We start from the raw sequence: 18,129 nt of genomic DNA, 5'->3' as shown, positions 1-18,129 counted from the left end.
CACGTCTGTAATCCCAGCACTTAGGGAGGCTGACGTGGGCGGATCACCCGAGGTCAGGAATTTGAGACCGGCCTGGCAAACATGGTGAAAACCCATCTCTACTAATACAAAAATTAGCTGGGCGTGGTGGCAGGTGCCTGTAATCTCAGCTACTTGGGAGGTTGATGCAGGAGAATAGGTTGAACCCGGGAAGTGGAGGTTGCAGTGAGCCAAGATCATGCCATTGCACTCCACTCTGGGCCACAAGACAGAAACTCCGTCTCAAAAAAAAAATTAAATTAAAAAATAAATTGGCCGGGCGCAGTGGCTCACGCCTGTAATCTCAGCACTTTGGGAGGCTGAGATGGGCGGATCATGAGGTCAGGAGATCGAGACCATCCTGGCTAACACGGTGAAACCCCGTCTCTACTAAAAAATACAAAAAAAATTAGCCGGGCATGATGGTGGGCACCTGTAGTCCCAGCTAGTGGGGAGGCTGAGGCAGGAGAATGGGATGAACTCGGGAGGTGGAGCTTGCAGTGAGCCAAGATTGCGCCACTGCACTCCAGCCTGGGCAACAGAGCAAGACTCCATCTCAAAAAAATAAAATAAAAATACAAAAATTAGCCGGGCGTGGTGGTGGGCGCCTGTAATCCCAGCTACTCAGGAGGCTGAGGCAGGAGAATAGCTTGAACCCGGGAGGTGGAGGGTGCAGTGAGCTGAGATCGCGCCACTGCACTCCAGCCTGGGGGACAGAGCAGGACTCCGTCTCAAATAAAATAAAAGCAATAAAAGTAAATTAAAAAGGAAGAAAGGGCATAACTGGTAATAACAATATAACCCATATCCTTCCAGAACCCCAAACTGAATTGGGGAGGCTTCAGTCTGGAAAACATAAAGCTACTCTAGGTATGCAATGATAATATAATCGCGAGCTTACACAAATGCTGGGAGTAAAGTCCGGGAAATTGTTGCCAATGACCTCAGCCCAAAGCACTGAAGTGGGTGGTGGTCTCAAGAGCTCATGGGGAAAAAACCAATGCAAACTCAACACTTAGAAAGCTACCAGCAATTTCTTGGTCTACATCAGAGGCAGGTGGTTCTGAAAACAGAACAGCTTTGAATTTCATCTATATTTCTGGCTGAGGGTGCCTCCCAAGAATAATCGCCTCGAAAGGTAAGAGTGCCTCGTCTGGTAGACTGTAATCCAGGGCTACACAGATGATTCTGGGAAATGCAGTTCCTACCATTTCTTCTGCTAAGCAGAGAAAGTGATGTCTAGCTGACAACTGACAATATGGCACATATAGATAGTAGTATTTTAGATATCTAAAATAACAAAAAGTCTCACCTGAGAAATGTCCAGGCAGCCTGATATCCCTAAGATAACAGCAAACACTACTGAGCGCTTTCTAGATACCGGGGACACTTCGCGGGACTTTTTCCACCTCTCTATGGCAGAGACAGTTTTTCCTATTATCATCATGACCCACATTTCAGAGGAGTTGGAGGCATGGAAAGAGGAAACAACTTGCCCGTTCCCTCTCCGTGCTATAATTTGTATACATCATCTTTTAAAACGGACTTTTCGGCCAGGCGCGGTGGCTCACGCCTGTAATCCCAGCACTCTGGGAGGCCGAGGCGGGCAGATCACGAGGTCAGATCAAGACCATCCTGGCTAACACGGTGAAACCCCGTCTCTACTAAAAATACAAAAAATTAGCCGGGCGTCGTGGCGGCCGCCTGCAGTCCCAGCTACTCGGGAGGCTGAGGCAGGAGAATCGCTTGAACCCGGGAGGCGGAGGTTGCAGTGAGCAGAGATCGCGCCACCGCACTCCAGCCTGGGTGACAGAGCGAGACTCTGTCTCAAACAAACAAAAACAACAAAAACACACACACGGACTTTCCAGAGCCCTGCAGTTTTGCGCTTCAGGGACAACAGTGAACATTTATCGATCCCATGGTTCTCCTACAATTGCCACGTGGCCAGCGTCTACACAGCCCCCCATCCTGCCCCTGCTGTCAAACACAGCGTTTCCAGAACGCAGTCGTGCTGGGCTCCAGGTGAGCTTTGGGAGGAGCCCCGGCTGAGCCCCTGCACTGGGCCCCGCGCTTCGGGAAGCATCTCGCTCGTTCGTCTCGCGCGCCGCGTGACCGGAGCCCTCACGCTGGCAGCGGGCACCGCAGGGCCCTGAGAGTCGGGCCCGCTGCGCGCAGCCAGGGGCCAACGAGAGCCGACGCTGGGCGGGCAGCGTCCGGGAGCCCCTCCGACCCTGCGCTCCCCTCGTCCGCGCCCTGACCCCGCGTCTCCGGCCGTCCAGCCCGCGCCGCGTCACCTCCCCTCCCGGAGCGAAGGGCCCTGCTCGCCCGAGGACGGAGGCCCGCACGGGACACGGGGCCCCAGTTTCCGCCCCGGAAGCCCAGGACACGGCTCCAGTGGCGGCGCGGCCCAGGGCGCAGGCGCGGGTGTCGGTCCCACCGCGCGTCGTCCTCGCCCCGGCCCCGGCCAATCCCTTCGAATTTGGCCGAGGCCGGGAAATACTAGCTAATCACGGCGCGCGCTGTTGACGCCGGCCAATGGGAGCTCCGGAAGGCTGCGTGGAGACGCCAGCGGCGGGCGGTGGACAGTCATGGCGGCCCGGCGCGGGGCTCTCATAGTGCTGGAGGGCGTGGACCGCGCCGGGAAGAGCACGCAGAGCCGCAAGCTGGTGGAAGCGCTGTGCGCCGCGGGCCACCGCGCCGAACTGCTCCGGTTCCCGGGTGGGTGCGCGCGGCGGGGGGTGCGCCGCGGCCTTCGGTGCCTCTGCCTTCCCAGGGGCTCTTTGCTCCGCTTCGTTGTCTGCGGCTGGCGTGCTGTGAACTGTGCGGTTTTTATTTTGAAAGACGGGCTTTCCCTGTGTCGCCCAGGCTGGAGTGCAGTGGCGCCATCTCGGCCCACGGCAGCCTGGACCTCCCGGGCTCAAGCGATCCTCCCGCCTCAGCCTCCCGGGTAGCCGGGAACATAGGCGCGCGCCACCGCGCCCGGTCCACGCTGCGTGTCTTTAAGTGCGGGGTATGGTGATGACTGACGTGTAAACCCGCGCGAAACCGTGGTGTCTCCCCCAAAAGTCTCCTCCAGCTCTTTTGTAATCCATGTCTCGTTTTTGTGGGTTTTTCTGGTGTTGTGTTTTGTTTGATGGCTGTTCGCGCTTTCAGGGGTTTTATAGCATATATTTAAAAGTTTTCAAGTGAAGCATTGACCTTAATCTTTGGCCACCCAGTCCACAAATTTTATAAATGCTTTCTTTGAAGTCTCTACTTTCTACCCGAGTTCTTTTTTCCTAAAGCATTTTTCATCCCAGCTTGTTTGCAGATTGCTGTTATTGCTCAGAGAAATTCCTTTGGCTTCCGCAGAAGATCCAAGCCTGTCTAGAGATTTAGTAAAGTAAAATTCAACGTGAGACTTGAGTCCGGGAGAAATTCAGTCCAAACTATATTGTAATATAGAGGGAAAGCCTGATCTCACTTGCATTTTGTGTGTTTCTCTTTTTTTCTAGAAAGATCAACTGAAATCGGCAAACTTCTGAGTTCCTACTTGCAAAAGAAAAGTGACGTGGAGGATCACTCGGTGCACCTGCTTTTTTCTGCAAATCGCTGGGAACAAGTGTAAAAACCATTGCACACTGCTCCCTCTGCCCTTGCCACTTTCCTTCCTCCTGAGATTCAGTGAACGCAGCACTCGATTCTGAATGACAGTGACAGTAGTGCTGGGCCTGATGTTCTTCTGTTTAGCAGTCCTGTGGGCAGAGGTGGTGAAGCGCCCTAGTTCCCAAAGGGCGCTAATGAATGCTGTTTCGTCCTCCTGCTCCCCACACCCCATAACTAATAGACTTCAGTTTTTCGGGTTTTTTTAGACGGAGTTCCGCTCTGTCGCCAGGCAGAGGTGTGATCTCGGCTCACTGCAACCTCCGCCTCCCAGGTTCAAGCGATTCTCCTGCGTCAGCCTCCCGAGTAGCTGGGACTACAGGCGCGCCCCAGCATGCTCAGCTAATTTTTGCAATTTTAATTTACTTTATTTTTAAATTTAATTTTTGTATTTTTAGTAGAGACAGGGTTTCACCATGTTGGCCAGGATGGTCTCTCTTGACCTTGTGATCCACTCGCCTCGGCCTCCCAAAGTTCTGGGATTACGCAGGTGTGAGCCACCGTACCTGGCCCTTTTTTTTTTATTTTTAAGACAAGGTATTGCTCTGTGGCCCAGGCTGGAGTGCAGTGGCACCCGATCATGGCTCACTGCAGCCTCAACTTCCTAGGCTCAAGCAGTCCTCCCACCTCAGCATCCTGAGTAGCTTAGGGCCATAGGGGCATGCTACCAAGCCCGGCTAATTTTTTTTTTTTTTTTTAATGTAGAGTCAAGGTCTCACCATATCACGCCCAGGCTGGTCTCAAACCCCTGGCCTCATAGACTTAATGTTTTAAAGATAGCTTTAGGTATATAGAAAAACTGATCAAAAAGTAGAGTATGTAGAGCGCTCCCTACATACTACCCCTGCCTTCCCCCCTTCCCCATTATTTATGTGCTGTGTTATGTTACATTTGTTAAAATTGATAACCAATATTGATACATTAGTAACTGAGTTTATATGAACTCTCCTACCACCTTTTTTTGTTTTACATCATTGTAGTAGGTTTCCTCTTCATTCAACACTTAATGTTGATGTGTGTTCTTTCAATGTTTTTATTTACATTTATATACATATGTAGAAACTACTATAGTTAGAATTTTGTTTTTTAACATAAATGAGGTCATACCATACAAATTATTTGGCAGCTTTCTTTCTAACTCTGCCTTACAGATTTCTGCACTTACAGATCCCCTAACTCTGCCCTTCTCATTCTCTTTAATTGTCGTCGCATTGTCTCTAGAACCACGGTACGTGTAGCCAGTTCCCTGCTGGTGAATCTTCAGTGGTTCCTCATCATCCGTGTTACATGAAACACTGCATTACTCTCCTCCGGCTTAGCTTTGTGTCTTGCTTGGAAAGGCTGTCCCCACTCCAAGTCTTAAATGAAAATGAGACCATTTTTAATAATCTTTTTAACACATCTAGAATTTATGGAGGCAATTGTTCTTCTGATTTTGCTTTTTGTGGCTTTGTAGAAAAGTGATGAAACACGTATATGCCCAATTTAAAATGAAGAATAATCCTGATTTTACTTTTTAGATAATAATCTTATCCCAGGTACCCAGGGCTACGTCTCTTGTGTCCATCTATTCTCCTACAGGTTACTTGTTTCCCTAATAGATATTTAAGTTTCCTCTATGTCTAACTGTGGCTTGATAGTTTTTTTTTGTTGTTTTGTTTTGGTTTTTTTTGAGACAAGAGTCTCGTTGTGTTGCTCAGGTTGGAGTGCAGTGGCTCAGTCTCGGCTCACTGCAACCGCCGCCTCCCGGGTTCAAGCATTTCTCCTGCCTCAGCCTCCTGAGTAGCTGGGATTACAGGCGCGTACGACCATGCACAGCTAATTTTTATGTTTTAGTAGAGACAGGGTTTCACCATGTTGGCCAGGGTGGTCTTGAACTCCTGACCTCAAGTGATCCTCCCACGTCGGCCTCCCACAGTGCTGGGATTACAGGCATGAGCCACCATGCCCGACCAATAGTTCATGTCTTTTTTGCCCTAATTAATAGTCCCTTGTTTGGATGTACCATAGTTCATTACCTACTAAAGGACATCTTTGTTGCTTCCAAGTTTTGGCAGTTATAAATCTGTTATAAACATCCTGGTGCAGGATTTTGTGTGGTCATAAGCTTTCACTTCTTTTGGGTAAATGCCAGGGAGCACCACTGCTTTAATATGTGGTAAGACTATTAATTTTTGTGAAGAACTGCTAAACCATGGGTATCCAGTCTTTTGGCTTCCCTGGGCCACATTGGAAGAAATGTCTTGGGCCACGCATAAAATACACTAACAATTGCTGATGAGCTTAAAAAAAAAAATCTCGTAACGTTTTGAGAAAGCTTAACAAATTTGTGTTGGGCTGCATGCAGCCTGCGGGCCTTGGGTTGGACAAGCTTGTGGTGAACTGTCTTCCAAAGTGGCTGCAGCATCTTGCATTCTCACCAGCAGTGAACAAGGGTTGCTATTGCTCCAGACCCTCACCAGCATTTGGTGTTGTCAGTGTTTGGATGTTTGCCATTCTGATAGGTGTGTGTGGCATCTCATTGTTCTAGTTTGCATTTCCCTGCTGACATATGATGTGGAGTATCTTTTCATATGCTTGTTTGCCATCTGTGTATCTGGTTTCGTAAGGGATCTGTTGAGTGCTTTGGCCCACTCTTTTTTTTGGGACAGGGTCTCAACCAGGCTAGAGTACAGTGGCACGGTCTTGGCTCACTGCAGCCTCTACTTCCCAGGCTCAAGCGATCCTCCTGCCTTAGCCTCCCAAGTAGCTGGGACTACAGGTGCATGCCACCATGCTAAGTTTTGTATTTCTTTTTTGTTTTCCTCGAGACAGTTTCATTCTTGTCGCCCAGACTGGAGTGCAATGGGGCGATCTTGGCTCACTGCAACCTACGCCTCGCAGGTTCAAGCGATTCTCCTGCCTCAGCCTCTCAAGTAGCTGTGATCACAGGTGCCCACCACCACGCCCGGCTAATTTTTCTATTTTTTAGTTAGTGATGGGGTTTCGTCATGTTGGCCAGGCTGGTCTTGAACTCCTGACCTCAGGTGATCCACCTGCTTTAGCCTCCCAAAGTGCTGGGATTACAGGCACGAGCCACCATGCCCGGCCAATTTTGTATTTTTTGAGGAAATGTGGTTTCACCATGTTTCCCAGGTTGGACTCAAATTCCTGGGCTCAAGTGATGAGCCTGCCTCCGCCTCCCAAAGTGTTGGGAATATAGGCATGAGCCATTACGCCCAGCCTTGGCCCACTTTTTAAGGGGGTTGGTTGATTTCTTATTTTTGAGTTTTAAGAATTCTTTGTATGCTTTAGATAACAGTCCTTTATAAAATGTGTCTTTTATACATATTTTCTCCTAGGCTGTGGTTTGCCTTTTCTGTTTTCTCACTCTCTTTCTCTCTTTTCTTTTTTTAGACAGGGTCTCTGTGTCATGCAGGCTGAGTGCAGTGCGCAATCACAGCTTACTGCAGCCTCGACCTCCCGGGTTCAAGTGATCTTCCCACCTCAGCCTCCCAAGTAGCTGCAACTATAGGCACGTTAACACACCTGGCTAATTTTTGTAAAATTTTTTGTAGCGATGGAGTCTCACTATTGTTGCCCAGGCTGGTCTTGAACTCCTGGACCCAAGCAGTCCTCCTGCCTTGGTTTCCCAAAGTGCTGTGATTAGAGGCATGAGCCACCCTGCCTGGCCTTATTTTTTTTTAGGAGAAATGTCTTGCTCTGTTGCCCAGGCTGGAATGTTGTGGCATGATCACAGCTTACTGCAGCCTTAAACTCCTGGGTTCAAGTGATCCTCCTGCCTCAGCCTCTGGAGTAGCTAGGACTACAGGTGCGTGCCACTATCCCTGGCTAATTTTTACATTTTTTGTAGAGATGGGGTCTCACTATTGTTACTCAGGCTGGTCTCAAACACCTGGCCTCAAGGGATCCATCCCGCCAAATGGCTTCCAAAAGTGCTGGGCTCACAGGCATGAGCCACCACGTCCGGCTGTCCTTTCCTTCTCTTGACAGTGTCTCTCACAAAGCACAAAGTTATTATTTTCGTGAAGTCCATCTTAATCAATTCTCTCATGGGCTGTGCCTTTGGTTTTGTATCTAAACAGTCTGCCAAACCCCAGGTGATCTAAGTTTTCTCCTGTGTTACTGTCTAGGAGTTGCATAGTTTTGCATTTTACATTTGGGTCTGTGATTCATTTTGTCTTTTTTTTCCCCCACTTTTTGTGGAGAACGGGGTCTCACTATATTGCCCAGGCAGGTCTCGAGCTCCTGGGCTCAAGCAATCCTCCTGCCTCTGCCTCCTTGAAAGCTGGGATTACAGGCGTGAGCCACCGTGCCAGGCCTGTGATTCATTTTGAATTTATGTTCGTGGAGGGTATACGGTCTGGTCTAGATTTATTCTCTTTCATGAGGATGTCCAGTTGTTCCAGCAGCGTTTATTGAGGAAAATGCCTTTGCACCATTGCATCCCTCTGCTGCTTTGTCAGAGGCCAGTTGACTCCTTATGTGGGTGCCCCTGTGATTTGAAGGCCCCAGTGAGACTGGCTGAGTCGAATGAATCGGACTTTTCTTTCTCTGTCTTGAGCAGTGCTTCTCACTAGTGTCAGGCCCCGTGTCTTTGTACATCTGTGATCTTGGCAGCTGTAGGGATGATGGTGGACTTGTGGTATTTGGCTGAGAACATCCTTGCAGTCCAGGCTAGGGGTCATGAGCATGGATGAGTCACCTGCTGGCTGTGCCCACGCTTCCCCCGCCACCATCCTCTGCTCTCTTCTTTGCCTGTGCTTTCTTCTTCCTCGACAGGGTAGAGCTGGCCTCTCTGACCAAGACAGCTGACAGTGCATCTCCTTTCCCCTGCCGTGTTTCTGGAACATTGAACTTTACCAGTTGTGTTTGTTACTATTTAGTAAGGTTATCTTCTCCATGTTGGGTTTTGCTGGAGGTGTGGGTATGGCATCTTCTAGAGAAGATCCAGACCTTTTTGGATTAAAAGTAAGGTTACAAATCACTGTGCTGTACTTGTTGTCATATGAGATTTCTGAGTTGTATTGTTGGGATAATTTTCTTTTTCTTTTTTTGAGATGGAGTCTCGCTGTGTCACCCAGGCTGGAATGCAGTGGTGTGATCTCGGCTCACTGCAACCTCCACCTCCTGGGTTCAAGCAATTCTCCTGCCTCAGCCTCCCGAGTAGCTGGGATTACAGGTGCCTGCCACCATGTCCAGCTAATATTTTGTATTAGTAGAGACAGGGTTTCACCATGTTAGCCAGGATGGTCTCGATCTCCTGACCTTGTGATCCGCCCGCCTCAGCCTCCCAAAGCGCTGGGATTATAGGGGTGAGCCACTGCGCACAGCCTGTTGGGATAATTTAAGCTTGACAGTTCAAGGCCTATGAAACAGGACCAGGGCTCAGGAGCATCCTCTTTTTCAGGCCGTTAATTAAGGAAAAGTTGAGCCAGGGCGTGACCCTCGTCGTGGACAGATACGCATTTTCTGGTGTGGCCTTCACCGGTGCCAAGGAGGTGAGTGCCACTTGGCCTCCTGTCAGGCGAGCACAGATGTGTGGACCCAGGACTGCCCTTGAATGCGAGTACGAGTGACATGCCTCAGATTACTCTGCAGAGTTTCGTGATTCTTATATTCCTTTTATCTCTTTGCTAGATTAATTTGGTTTTATCAATAAGAAGAGCAAACATTTATGTAGCTAGAGATTGTTTCACAGATAGAACCATAGTTGGTATTTGGATTATATTTTCCACACGCTTTTTTTTTTTTTTTTGGGGAGACAGTCTCTCATTCTGTCACCCAGGCTGGAGTGCAGTGGCACGATCTCAGCTCATTGCAACCTCTGCCTCCTGAGTTCAAGCGATTATCCTGCCTCAGTCTCCCGAGTATCTGGGATTATAGGCATGCACCACCGTGCCCAGCTAATTTTCATACTTTTAGTAGAGACGGGGTTTTACCATGTTGGCCAGGCTGGTCTCAAACTCCTGACCTCAAGTGATCCACTCATCTCAGCCTCCCAAAGTGCTAGGATTACAGGCATGAGCCACTGCACCCAGCCTCCAGATGCATTTTCAAAGATGGTTCATTTGTAGTACTTTTTTCCCCCGTTTTTTGAAAGAGGGCGTCTCCCTCTGTTGCCCAGGCTGGAGTACAGTGGAACAAGCAAAGCTCGCTATAACAACTCTTGGGCCCAAGTGATCCTCCCGCTTCAGCCTCCCAAAGTGCTGGGATTACAGGCGCGAGCCACCGTGCCCGGCCACGCCCTCACTTTTTAATTCTGCCATTTCTTCATGTGTTAGCTTGAGTCCTTCCCCTCTGAAGTATTACGTTGTATAATAAGGAGGACAAGACTCATGATTCCTTTGCTTCTTCCTGCTGTGCGGATCAGCTGACAGAGCCGCAGGCTCTGTGGGAGGTTCTCGTGGACGCCTTCCCTCAGCTCATTGTGCTGTTGTGTGATGTGTGGCCTGCAGTCACAGCCTTTCTGGTCCTACCTTTCCTCCGGAAACAGGACAGCATTTGGAGGGAGATGGGATGAGTAAGGGAGGGAGAGAGGGTGCTGGCACAGCCCTGGCAAGAAGGGCCAGTGGATGAGACTAGGCTGGCACATAACAGGCTCTAGGAGTGCCTGTCTTCTTCCTGCTCTTCCACGGGAGAGGAGACCCTGGCGTGTGTGTGGCAGAAAAGACACTGCCAAGGACCTCGTGCCTGTGTCCGGACCCAGCTGCTCTGTGCTGCAGGCGTTCTAGGCCGGGGGTCTCCAGGGGTTCTGTACATAGACTGTTTGCTCCTGGCCAGCAGGCCTGTAGCTGTGCTGGGAGGGCCTCCATGGGGCCTGGGCTGTGGGTGGCGGGGACTGGCAGCCGTTCTATCTACCTACTTTTCTGTCCACTTGTCTGTTTACAAAGGAAAAACAAAGGTGACACTGGAGAAACCGACACGTTTGAGGTTCTAAAAATTAAACGAGCCACAATATAAACAGTCTCACATCTTGGTACCTCACCAAATGTCCCCTCATTTTTTCCTGTTTTTACGACTTTCGAAACAAAAACCTAGACTACACTAAGCTTTAACTGTTGGGTTCTTTCTTGGCAGAATTTTTCCCTAGATTGGTGTAAACAGCCAGACGTGGGCCTTCCCAAACCCGACCTGGTCCTGTTCCTCCAGTTACAGCTGGCGGATGCTGCCAAGCGGGGAGCGTTTGGCCATGAGCGCTATGAGAACGGGGCTTTCCAGGAGCGGGCGCTCCGGTGTTTCCACCAGCTCATGAAAGACACGACTTTGAACTGGAAGGTGAGAATCCCAGAATTGCACACTAGGAAGCGTGGAGAAGTGGCTCAGGATGACACCGTGGTGGCTGGCACAGTTGTGTCAGCAAAGCTGCTGCCGTTTCCGTCTGGTCCTCCCAGATGTGGAGCCCCGGGAGTAGTCGTTCAGGGGTTCTCGGTGCCAGCAAATTCTTTTTTTTTTGAGACAGAATCTTGCTCTGGGTGCCAACCCAGGCTGGAGTGCAATGGCACGATCTCAGCTCACTGCAACCTCCGCTTCTTGGGTTCAAGTGATTCTCCTGCCTCAGCCTCCCGAGTAGCTGGGATTACAGGCACGTGCCATCATGCCTGGCTAATTTTTTTTGTAGAGATGGGGTTTCTCCACGTTGGTCAGGCTGGTCTCCAACTCCTGACCTCAGGTGATCTGCCCACCTCGGCCTCCCAAAGTGCTGGGATTATAGGCATGAGCCATCGCGCCCGGCCAGTGCCAGCAAATTCTAACCCGATGAGTTTTGCTAAATGTTGACATTTGGCGCTTTGTCTGGTGGGTCAGGTGAGAGTCTGCGCAATCCTCCACATCCTCAGCCCCTCTTCAGACACGAGCGCCAGCCTGTTCCTGCCACTGTGTCCTCTGGTGCGGCCTCTCGCTGGGCATGGGCCCTGCAGCAGCACCTGGCCATCTAAGTTCAGGAGGGTGCTGTGTGCTGCCTCTCCCTTCAGTCCTGCCTCCTTCAATCTCAGCAGTCCCAGGTCTGGCTCTGCTCCCAGGACGCTGGACTCTCCCCTCCCAGTGGACTCGCAGGCTGGCCGCCTCTGCTCCTCCCGACCGCAGCCCCTACCTCTCTCCCAGACTCCAGTCGCCCGTGCCCACCGCTGCCCACGTGGCCTCTTTCCAGGCGGCAGCCAGGGCTTCTGGCACGTCGGGCGCCAGCACTGTCGCTTGTGGCCACGGCCCGCGGAGCTTCAGTCCCTTGAGCTCCTCCTCCAGAGCAGGGCCGAGGGTCTCGCCCCAGCCCGACTGGCTGTGCCTGCAGATGATGCTGGTCACGCAGCTTTTCGTTTCCCGGAACGCAGGTGGGATAGCAGTGCCCTTTTCTGGCAGTGCGGCATTCTCTCTGGCAGTCATTCCGCCCGGAGAGGCTCATCTTGGGCGGTTCTGGGCGACAGCTGTGTGGCTGCACAGTGGCCAGTGAGAGGCATCTGGGAAGGTGGCCCTTGTGTAGGGAGTCACTCTCCTTCCGTCACGGTCACACCTCATGAAATGGTTAGATTCTTCCAAGTGCCTTCTACGCCCCTGGCAGATTTTCTAGAATTTGCTGTCCCAGAAGCTTGAGAAGGGTCCGGTGCCACCCGACAGCAGAAGCCGGGATGCCGCTGAGATGCCAGCGCTTCTGAGTCCCTCTCACTGCCTGCCTTCTGGTGGAGAGAAGGCTGTCCTGCGGGCTTATGCCCTCCCCACGCTCCTCGCACCGTTCACGCCATTGTGCAGCACAGCTGTTAGGACCAAATTCATCTTCCCCGCAAGGACGAGTCAGGCCCAGTGTTGCACTGGTCCTGCTGTCTGGCTTCTGCTGCGGAACTTCCTCACCTTCCAGGCAGGGCCCAGGAGCCACAGGAGCGTGGGCAGGGCAGGGTCTGCCCTCTGTGCTTCCGACTCGCCGCTTGCGAGCTGGAGGGACAGTCACCTCGACCTGGTGGGCTGGGTGGGTCTGGCTGTGCTGTGGGCTGTGCCTCACTCCTGCAAGTGGGCACTCAGCGGGGTTGGGGTCACGAGGCTGAGGTCGGCTTAAAGCAGGAGTGGGCAGTTGGCACATCATGTTTCTCCTGCATCAGGGCTGTGGCAGGAATGCCGGGTGACTACCGTAGACACTTGTCAAGGTTGAGGTTCAGAGAAAGGTGTGGGGTATCCCGGAGGTCACCACAGTGTGCCAGGAGGTTCAGGTTGGCCTTCCAGAGCCCGGCCTGTGTGAAATCCCCACGAGCACAGAGGACAGAACGAAACATGGTGTTGTTTTGAAACAGGGTGTTACTGTGTCACCCAGGCTGGAGTAGAGTGGTGCCACATTTTTTGTAGAGACGGGGTGTCCCTGTGTAGCCCAGGCTGGTCTTGAACTCCTGGGTACAAGCAGTCCTCCCTCGTGGGCCTCCCAAAGTGCTGGGATTACAGGCGTGGGCTCCCGTGACCAGCCTGGAACGTGCTGATGAGCCTCTTTTTCTCCTGAAACCCCGGTGGGAACAGATGGTGGATGCTTCCAAAAGCATCGAAGCTGTCCATGAGGACATCCGCGTGCTCTCTGAGGACGCCATCCGCACTGCCACAGAGAAGCCGCTGGGGGAGCTATGGAAGTGACCCAAGGCTGCCCACTGGAGACGCCTCTCCCTGCAGTCCCCCGAGAGGTGGGAGACTCGCGGAAGGCCCCGTCCCCAGCAGAGTCCAGACCCCACAACTTCAGGAGCTCTTTCCCGGCAGCAGAGATCTGCAGGCTGCCTCTTCTGCCCCGGAGCTGGGGTGCACTGGGGACCCCCGTGGTGGGGACCTTGGCAGTGTGGACATGAGCAGAGCGATGGAGCAGTCTCCTGCCCTCTCCCCTGTCCTGATGGCACTCTGTTGTATTTTCTTACTGAAGTTCAGTGATAACTCTGAGCAGTTTCATTGTGATCACTGTAAATGGTAATCAGTTGGAATTCTCCTAAATGTCTTCCAGACACTAGTAAAAAACGACCTGAAAATTGTTTGTGGAACGCTTCACTTTTCTTAGACTGAGGACGGAGCTGGCTTTGAATGGGAACCTCCATCCCAGGAGAGAAGAGCCTTCATTGGGCCCAGTAGGGCCTTCCTGGACCCTGGTTCCTGCCTAGTTGAGGGAGTCCCACTGTGGGTCTGAACAGTTGCAGCCATGCCCTGGGCTCGCTGGGTCCAGCCAGGCTATATCCGAGTGTCATCACAGCTTACGTCCTGAACTCACCTAAGTTAACTCTGCTATTTTCATTGCAACCCTGGAGCTTAACTTCTCATCCTATCCTTTATTTTTTATTTTTTTGGAAACAGGGTCTCACTGTCGCCCAGGCTGGAGTGCAGTGGCACGATCGTGGCTCACTGCAGCCTTGACCTCCTGGGCTCAGGTGATCCTCCTACTTCAGCCTCCTGAGTAGCTAGGCCTACAGGCCTTCACTGTGCCTGGGTAATTTTTTTGTGGAGACAGGATTTCGCTATGTTGCCAGCCAGGCTTGTCTTAAACTCCTGGGCTCAAGTGATCTACCTGCCTTGGCCTCCCCAAAGTGCTGGGAGTACAGGCATGAGCCACCATGCCGAGCCCATTGCATCCCCTTTTAAGTGACACTTAGAAGGAATGATTTGACACTCCTGGCAGAATCTGTCCCACAGAGCACACTCCGCATAGACAGCAGCATACAGTGTGCTGGAGTAGAAGGCAGGCAGGGTCCCCCATCTGTGGGGGCAGCAGCTGTGGGTCTCAGCACCCTTCTGTGGCCAAGAGACAAACCCAGGCAAAACAAAAGGATTTCACTCTTGGGTAAGCATTGCCAGGGGCTGTGGGATGGGCCTGGGTGAGGAACCTTCAGATGAGACTTTCCTGGACTATCCAGGTGGGCCCAGTGTCATCACAGGGGCCTTTTTTTGTTGTCTTAAGACTGGGTCTCACTCTGTCATCCAGGCTGGAGTGCAGTGGTGCAATCTTGACTCACTGCAGCCTCTCTTTCCTGGGCTCAAGTGATCCACCTTAGCCTCCCAAAGTGCTGGGATTACAGGCTGGCGCCACCATGCCTGGCCCATCACGGGTCCGCATAACAGGGAGGCAGGCGGTCCGAGTCAGGAAATGAGATGCCAACAGCAAAAGCTGGAGAGATGCCATGTTGCTGGCTGTGTGGTTGGAGGAAAGAGCCATGAGCCAAGCAGTTTCTGGCATCCAGAAGCTAGAAAGGCACAGCAACGTTCTCCCCTAGAGCCCACAGCACGATATGGCTGTCTGCCCTCCGGGTCTGGAAGAGGCTGTGCTGTTCCAGGCACTGAATGTGATCATCTTTTAGAGCAGCCACAAGAAGCGAATACGAGCATCGGAGAGGCCACAAGTCCTCAGCCACCTCACCGGGGACCCAGCAGGGCCCCCTCCGATCTGGCTTTGGGCCCTTCACACCTATACCAGGGCTGCCCACAGGGATGCACTGGCCAGAGTGAGCAATGTCCTCACCAAGCCCCCTGCTGTGCCCCAGGCATGGCCTCCCACAGGCCAGGACAGTCACTGCGCACTTGGGGAAGGCTTTGCTATGATTCAAATCGAGGCAAACCCTGCAACTCCAGGCACTTCCTGTGACTTCCTCCTGCTGAAGATGGGAACCGCCATTTTACTTTCCTAAAATCCTATTTTCCTTGCACTTTTTCCTTCTAGGGTTGTATGAGGTGGCTGATGCCACGGCTGGTAGAGAGCCAGGCTGCAGGCAGGACAGGCCCCCTGCCAGGGCTGGGGACACACCTGCTCAGGGCCCCACAGCCCGCCACGCAGGCAGCCACATCCTTTACGTGTGAACGGGCTGAAACATTCACTTATTTTTTTTCTGGAACTCACATTCAATTAGAACTTAAGGAAAAAATAGACACAAGGTTTGTTTTCTACTGAAACTTATTATTTGCCATTAAGAATTGCAAACTATACTACTAAGAATGAACAACATTCTCTTCATTAAGCCTTTTTCAAAACACACGAGACAAAGCTCCCCTTTGGTCAAGGTGTCCCACACATTACCACTGCAGCTCCCAGCACAGCGGCGCACCATGAACTCGGACGTGGAGCCCAAGGAATGGAGATCGCACCAGCCTTCCCTGCTTCCCCACCCCAACTACACCCAAGGGAGAAAGGATACGAGGAAATACACTATGTCTTCAATGCTTGGGGGGCTGGGGGTGTCCTCTGCTACCAGGTGGGCCGGTCAGTGCCGACTGTCCGGCGCGCGTCCTCGGGGATCTCTGGCTCCCCGACCTACACAAGCAGCAGCAGCAGCAGCGAGTCCTGCCAACGCCGCAGTAGCTGCTCATGAGAAAAGTGCCCACGCTCCCCAAGCCCTCCTGTTTACATTTCCTAGTGGGGCAAAGATACTTTCCCAGGACAGGCAGCAGAGCAGCGGGGCAGAGTGCACTCTGGGACCCGGGACAGCAGGTTACACAGGGTCAGGCGGTGGTGGGTGCTGGAATCGGGGCTGAGGTTCTGGAAATGCCACCAGGTGATGCCACCCTGTGGTGTCTGCCCACCACACACCACAAGACTCAAGTGGTTTTCCCCTTTTGGCCCTAAACCACCTAACACCTCAGCGGCATGGGAGGGCAATTCTCAGCAAGGCAAGGACATGGGGAAGGCTCCTGGGAGAGGCACGCCGTCCACCCTCAAGCCTGGCTGTCACAGGTGGAGGCCCCGCCCCCCCCCCGTCACCACACCTGGGGAAGCTGCCACAGAATGCCACAGCACTGGAAAGGGACACTCTGAGGGCAGGCTCCAGCAGCAGCTCCAGGACAGCCAGCCGCCCTTCTGCCCAGGCCGCCCACGCTGTGTCCTGTGCACGCCATCTTCAGGTTTCCCACACACCCACTTCCTGAATACTTTTCTCCCCAAAGCAAGGAGGAACCTCGCCTTCGTTCCTCCAACCTCATCTCCCACTGAGGTAGCCCTTGGTAAGCCAGGCTGGGCAGAGAGGACACAGCGGTGGGCGCGCCCCCCTCGAGAGCAGCCCAGTCCTTGGGCGTGGGGCCGCAGTGTGGCTGCCGCTCCTCTCACGCCAGCCTGCACAGGTCTTCTGAGACTCTGACTCAGGGAGCGCCCAGAAATTCATGTCTGTGTCTGACAACTTCAAACAGGACTTTAATTCCAAACCAACCACAGAACCGGCGCCTGGGAGCAAGTGGGACTGAGGCCCAGGTGCTAACACGGGGCTGGCAGTGTCGAGAGAACACTCTGGAAGCTCCTAACAGACGGCTCCGCGTGCGGATGCACAGGCCCTGACGGGCACTCTGAGCTGGGCAGTCTGACACCAAGCAGTAAGGCCTCCCGGGCAGCGCAGCCTCAGTCCACGAGCACAGCGGGTGGCCCTCTGGGGGGAGGCAGCACGGGGCGCAGCCCTCGGCAGGCGAGCGGGCGGGATGGATGAAACGCAGCGGCACCAGGAGCCCCAGGCTCTCACAGGTGCCACCCCCGACCCCAGGATTTTCAAAGGGACAGGATTTCAAAGTCTTCATCTTCTGAGTCGAAGAATCTTTCCAGTCGCTCTACATCAGAAGAATCTAGAAGGAACAGGACATAGCGCATCAGGCATCTTGGGTGGGCCACCTGGGTGTGAGTCAAGGGCCCTTGGCGTGGGGCAGACTGAGCAGTGCCTGCTCTGCAGCCCACAGACAGCTGTCCCCATGCGGGTGTGAACAGGTCCGGGGGTTGTGCAGACCTGCGAATATGGGGGGAGGGAGCAGAGAAGAGGAGCAGGGCAGGGTGAGGAGGGCAGGGGGCGGCCGGCACAATCTCAGGCCTGAGGGGCCTCTGTCCCGCGTCTGACCCTCGTGGTCATCAGGAGTGGTTCCATTGCCATTGCCTTGTTTGTAGAGTTTCCCACAGGGAGACAGAGATGAGGAGGACGCGCTCACGGCCACTCACTTCACTGCACGAGCCCAGGCCGGCTCCTGCGGCACGCTGGCCATGGTCCGAGGGGTCTACGCCACCCATGGCCAGTGGTGCCCAAGTGAACCAGTCCCCCACCCAGGACTGCGTCACCACAGAGCCTGCATGTTCTGTCTGCTCCAGACCCCTGAGGACTCCATGGTAGCACGCCCAGCTCCACAGCGCCCGGGCAGGCAGCGCTGGTGGGGAAGACGAGGTGGGTCCTGGGCTGCTGGGCGCAAGCTTGGAGGAGGGGACGCTCCACTCCATACCTGGTCTCACAGGCGAACCACTGCCAAGTGCTCACGGCTCAGGCTCACACACACCTTAATGGTCAAAACCAAGGGGGCCAGGACTGGGGAAGCAAGGGCACAGATCGTACCTCCGAGGGACCCCACCTGGACTTGGCAGCTCTCACCTAGGGACAGGTTCAGGACGTCGGGGCAGGCCAGATGTGAAGGCTGCAGCTCCACCAGCTCAAACATGGGCAGGGCACCTCCAAGCAGAGACAGCTGTTAGTGAGACATGGCCGTTAGGTGCAGCCTCACCCCAGTGCTTGC

General features: G+C 53.2%; 3 protein-coding genes across 19 annotated transcripts in view, besides 4 other annotated features; 1 reads left to right on the top strand and 2 right to left on the bottom strand.

Annotated features, from left to right (window-relative positions):
* ING5 (inhibitor of growth family member 5) overlaps positions 1–2,373 on the bottom strand; it is a 42,459-nt gene extending 40,086 nt beyond the window's left edge. For all 3 annotated transcript variants that reach the window (XR_007082548.1, XM_047446012.1, NM_001330161.2), the window contains exon 1: positions 1,331–2,373. The gene's annotated coding sequence lies outside the window, so the exon portion shown is untranslated. The remainder of the gene's footprint in view (positions 1–1,330) is intronic.
* Positions 2,089–2,618: a silencer, noted in NCBI's record as "silent region_12554". NCBI's record gives its function as "represses an Ori minimal core promoter by ATAC-STARR-seq in GM12878 lymphoblastoid cells {active_cell/tissue: GM12878}" and the evidence as "EXISTENCE:reporter gene assay evidence [ECO:0000049][PMID:35858748]".
* Positions 2,089–2,631: a biological region, named in NCBI's record as "ReSE screen-validated silencer GRCh37_chr2:242626177-242626439".
* Positions 2,369–2,631: a silencer, noted in NCBI's record as "fragment chr2:242626177-242626439 (GRCh37/hg19 assembly coordinates)". NCBI's record gives its function as "represses an EF-1alpha promoter that drives an FKBP-Casp9 reporter gene in an ReSE screen in K562 erythroleukemia cells {active_cell/tissue: K562}" and the evidence as "EXISTENCE:reporter gene assay evidence [ECO:0000049][PMID:32094911]".
* DTYMK (deoxythymidylate kinase) lies at positions 2,578–13,646 on the top strand. 8 transcript variants are annotated; one of them, NM_001320905.2, is made up of 6 exons: positions 2,578–2,739; positions 3,516–3,624; positions 6,478–6,594; positions 9,074–9,164; positions 10,744–10,941; positions 13,156–13,646. In NM_001320905.2, exons 1-6 carry the CDS (start codon positions 2,610–2,612, stop codon positions 13,264–13,266), a joined length of 756 nt encoding a protein of 251 aa, NP_001307834.1. In that variant the 5' UTR covers positions 2,578–2,609; the 3' UTR covers positions 13,267–13,646. The 8 variants fall into 8 exon arrangements, 6 of the variants coding, with proteins under 6 accessions (NP_001307834.1, NP_001158503.1, NP_036277.2 ...); NR_135492.2 differs by lacking the exon at positions 6,478–6,594 and having other exon boundaries at positions 3,516–3,586; NM_001165031.2 differs by lacking the exon at positions 6,478–6,594 and having other exon boundaries at positions 10,816–10,941.
* Positions 2,679–2,988: a silencer, noted in NCBI's record as "silent region_12553". NCBI's record gives its function as "represses an Ori minimal core promoter by ATAC-STARR-seq in GM12878 lymphoblastoid cells {active_cell/tissue: GM12878}" and the evidence as "EXISTENCE:reporter gene assay evidence [ECO:0000049][PMID:35858748]".
* Positions 13,647–15,535: 1,889 nt separating the features above from the next.
* Positions 15,536–18,129, bottom strand: part of ATG4B (autophagy related 4B cysteine peptidase) — a 36,165-nt gene continuing 33,571 nt past the window's right edge. For 4 of the 8 annotated variants that reach the window (XM_005246992.5, XM_047443738.1, XM_047443742.1 and 1 more), the window contains one exon: positions 15,536–18,081. In XM_005246992.5, the coding sequence (XP_005247049.2) occupies positions 17,848–18,081 (234 nt within the window). In that variant the 3' untranslated portion in view covers positions 15,536–17,847. The remainder of the gene's footprint in view (positions 18,082–18,129) is intronic. The other 4 variants (NM_013325.5, XM_047443739.1, XM_047443741.1 and 1 more) reach the window with 2 other exon arrangements.

Source organism: Homo sapiens, chromosome 2 (genome assembly GCF_000001405.40).
Source record: "Homo sapiens chromosome 2, GRCh38.p14 Primary Assembly".
Lineage (NCBI taxonomy): Eukaryota > Metazoa > Chordata > Mammalia > Primates > Hominidae > Homo > Homo sapiens.
This window is presented reverse-complemented; position numbering and strand designations above follow the sequence as displayed.